The 3,189-nt window shown below is 49.8% G+C and overlaps 2 pseudogenes; both read right to left on the bottom strand.

Moving 5' to 3' along the window:
• LOC171417 (thioredoxin 1 pseudogene 7) lies at window positions 229-860 on the bottom strand (annotated as a pseudogene).
• Window positions 1,993-2,847, bottom strand: PTCHD3P2 (patched domain containing 3 pseudogene 2; annotated as a pseudogene).

Genomic DNA, 3,189 nt, shown 5'->3' on the forward strand with positions numbered 1-3,189 from the left:
CCACCTGCCTTGGCCTCCCAAAGTGCTAGGATTGCAGGCGTGAACCACCATGACTGGCCGGATTTCTTAAACATTTTAGTCAGAAAGCAGATGAGAAGGTGAGGTTGAAACTGGCAAGCTGCCACCTGAAACTTGAGATTTTAGTAAGAAGGAAAGAATGGTATGGAATTCCAGCCAGAAATACTAAACATACATTAAAAGTAGGAAAGTTTAGAGCATTTTGTTCTTCATAAAATTTTTTAAAGGGTTGAATTAATATTTTATTGTCATTTATAATCAGATGGCAGTATAGTCTCCATACTTATTGTAAATAAAAAAAATTACAAGTTTTAAATAGCCAATGGCTGGTTATATTTTCAGAGAACATGATTAGATTGATTAATGGTTGCTTCAAGTTTTTTCTTATTAGCTCCAGATAATTCAACCACATTTTGTCTCTTTTTAAAAAATTGTAAGGTTGGCAGGGCATGGTGGCACATGCCTGTAATCCCGGCACTTTGGGAGGCCAAGGTGGGTGGGTCACTTGAGCTCAGAAATTCAAGACCAGCCTGGGAAATATGGCAAAACCCCATCTCTATTAAAAATACAAAAATTAGCCAGGCATGGTGGTGCACACCTGTAGTTGAAGCTACCTGGGAAGCTGAGGTGGGAGGATTGCTTAAGCCTTGGAGGCAGAGATTGTAGTGAGCCGAGATTGTGCCACTGCACTCCAGCCTGGGTGACAGAGACCCTGTGTCAAACAAAACAAAACAAAAACAAAACTGGAAGGTTAGCATGCATTTGACTTCACACTCTGAAGCAACATCCTGACAGCCATATCCATTTCAAGGAACATCATACTGGAGTACTTTTCAGAGAGGTGTCCTTCATAATTTCTGAAAGTCTTTGAAACATGATCTTTGTTAGAACTTCCTTCTGCTTTTCTCTTCCCCAATTCCTAGTATAAGGCATTTATTCTCAGAGGTTCAGCTTTTAGAAAGGCTCTTCCATGTAACATTTTTGCTTGTCAACATGTTAGGAGGTCCAATCAACACACACACACAAAAGAAAAGTATTTTCCAGTATTTTTAACACAAAGTTATTGGTTTGAAAACATGCCTATTCCCTTTTATATCTGCTTTTGAAAGAAGTTAGGAAGACAAGGTAATGGAGCCCATAACCTTTGTCTTCTTGAACAAGAAGAAACTTGTCTAAGAAAGTTTGGGGCAGGAATTGCACACAGTTAAGAAGCCCCATGAATCCAAACATTTACTCAGCCTCACTAAAATGACAGCATACAACTGGTTTATGAAATTATTAGAGCTGCTGAAGGGTTCAGAAGTGGACTCCGGGGCGGCCAGCTGGGCTCAGAGTGGAGCAGGGTCAGGATGGACGAGGACATGCTGACCACCCTGAAGACCCTCATCTTCTTGAGAGTGGGGTGGGCAAGTCCCCCCTGCTCTTGAGGTTCACAGATGATACTTTTGATCCAGAACTTGCAGCAACAATAGCATGATGTGACTGCAAATAGTATGATTAGAATGTATGCCAGGTGAAACAAAGGGATCACTGTCATAGAAGTTGCCTCAAATTGCAGTTGTCTGGAAAGCAATGTGAAGTGGACCACCTGCCAAAAAAAAAAAAATACTCAGCGAGCACCAAGCAAGTTTTGGGGGCTCCCCAAAACCAGTGAAGACTTCAACTAAAAGTAGAATGTCAAAGCACTGTAATATGATAAGAAACCAAACCCCAAAATTAAACACGAAGATCAGTGTCTGTGCTGAACAGCCCCATCTGGTGGACACAGGATTTGTGTTACCGACCTGAATGTTACCAAGAATTCACGATTCCTGGCATCCGTCGGTGTTAATTTAAAAGAGTTGGATTAAGTGACAAATACAGTAAAGCAAACCCGGCTTTGAGGCAAGGACCCCTTGAAGTAGTCATGCGGTGCTTTTGTTACGGTTCTGGGAACAAGTCTTCCTCATCCCTCCCACCTTCTCTTGGCCTCCTTGTAAACCTGAACCGCCAGGTACCTCAATTTTCTTCATGACCAGACTGTTGTTAATATTGTTAAATTGGTGGAGGAAATGGGTGAGCCACTGCTTGCTCTGCACGTTGTCCTCCGGTGCTGGGTCTTCAGGTAGTACAGCAGCTGCATGGCTTTGGCCTGCAGAAGTAACTGGCCCATTCCCAAGCTGTCCCCCAAGATGTGTCTTCCAAAGAAGCCGGTCAGGAAGACAAGATGCCCGCTGTGGTTGTAGATGGGGAAGGTGATGCTGCTCAGGTCAAGCGTTTTGTCCACCTGCCAGGCATCCAGGAGCGGGTTGGGGGGCACACAGAGCGTCTGGTGCCTCAGGGACACCTGCTGGTACTGGATGTGGCTTCCGTTTCCCCTTGGGACCTGCAGATCCTGCATCAGGCTGCCCAATTTACCAACTTCGGCAAAGGTATCTGGTTCCAGCTATAAGTCGCTGTGGGAGACCACCAAAATGGAGGCGAAATTGGCCTCGGGGCGCCTCCTGGAGAAGCGGTAGGAGTCGGTGGTGGTGAAATGGCCCCGCATGAAGCCCACTCAGCCTTGGCCGGGCTCCCCTGGGCGCACGGCTCCTCCAGACCTTCTTCGTCCTCGGGCAGGTAAAGGAAGCCGGAGCCCAGCGCGGCCGGCAGCATCATGGGCGCCAGAGGAAGATCGGGGTGCCCACCACCACCCCAGCCACTGGAAGGCGCGGGACAGCGGCCCTTTCAGGCGGTCGGCTTGGCAGTCGCGGGCAGACGGCTACGGATTCGGGGTTTCGCCCCAGCAGGGGTGCGTCCTTCCAACCCACGCCGGGGTGGCTGCGGCCCCTTATCCAGCAACGATCGCCGCTCCGAGGGCTGCCCTGACGCCCAGACCGGCCTCGATTCGGTCCTTGGTCCCACCCCGGGACCTCCACCGACCCGGACCCAGACCTCGAGCTGCGCCGTCTGGCCCCGGCCCGGCTCCGGCTTCCCCTCCGACTCTGACTGACCCCGCTCGGACTCCCGGTCCGACTCCGGGTAGTCGCCCAGTCCCTCTTCCTGGGCGCCAACTTCAGCTCCCGTTTCGCCCCAGGCTCGGGTCCGGCTGCCCCACGACCTTAGAGGAACAGAAACTCATTTCCAGGAAGCACAGGCGGGACGGCAGGTGAAAAAGCCGCTGCGGGGAGCAGATCTCCGCCCCACCCGACG

This window comes from Homo sapiens, chromosome 2, assembly GCF_000001405.40.
Source record: "Homo sapiens chromosome 2, GRCh38.p14 Primary Assembly".
Classification (NCBI taxonomy): Eukaryota; Metazoa; Chordata; class Mammalia; order Primates; family Hominidae; genus Homo; species Homo sapiens.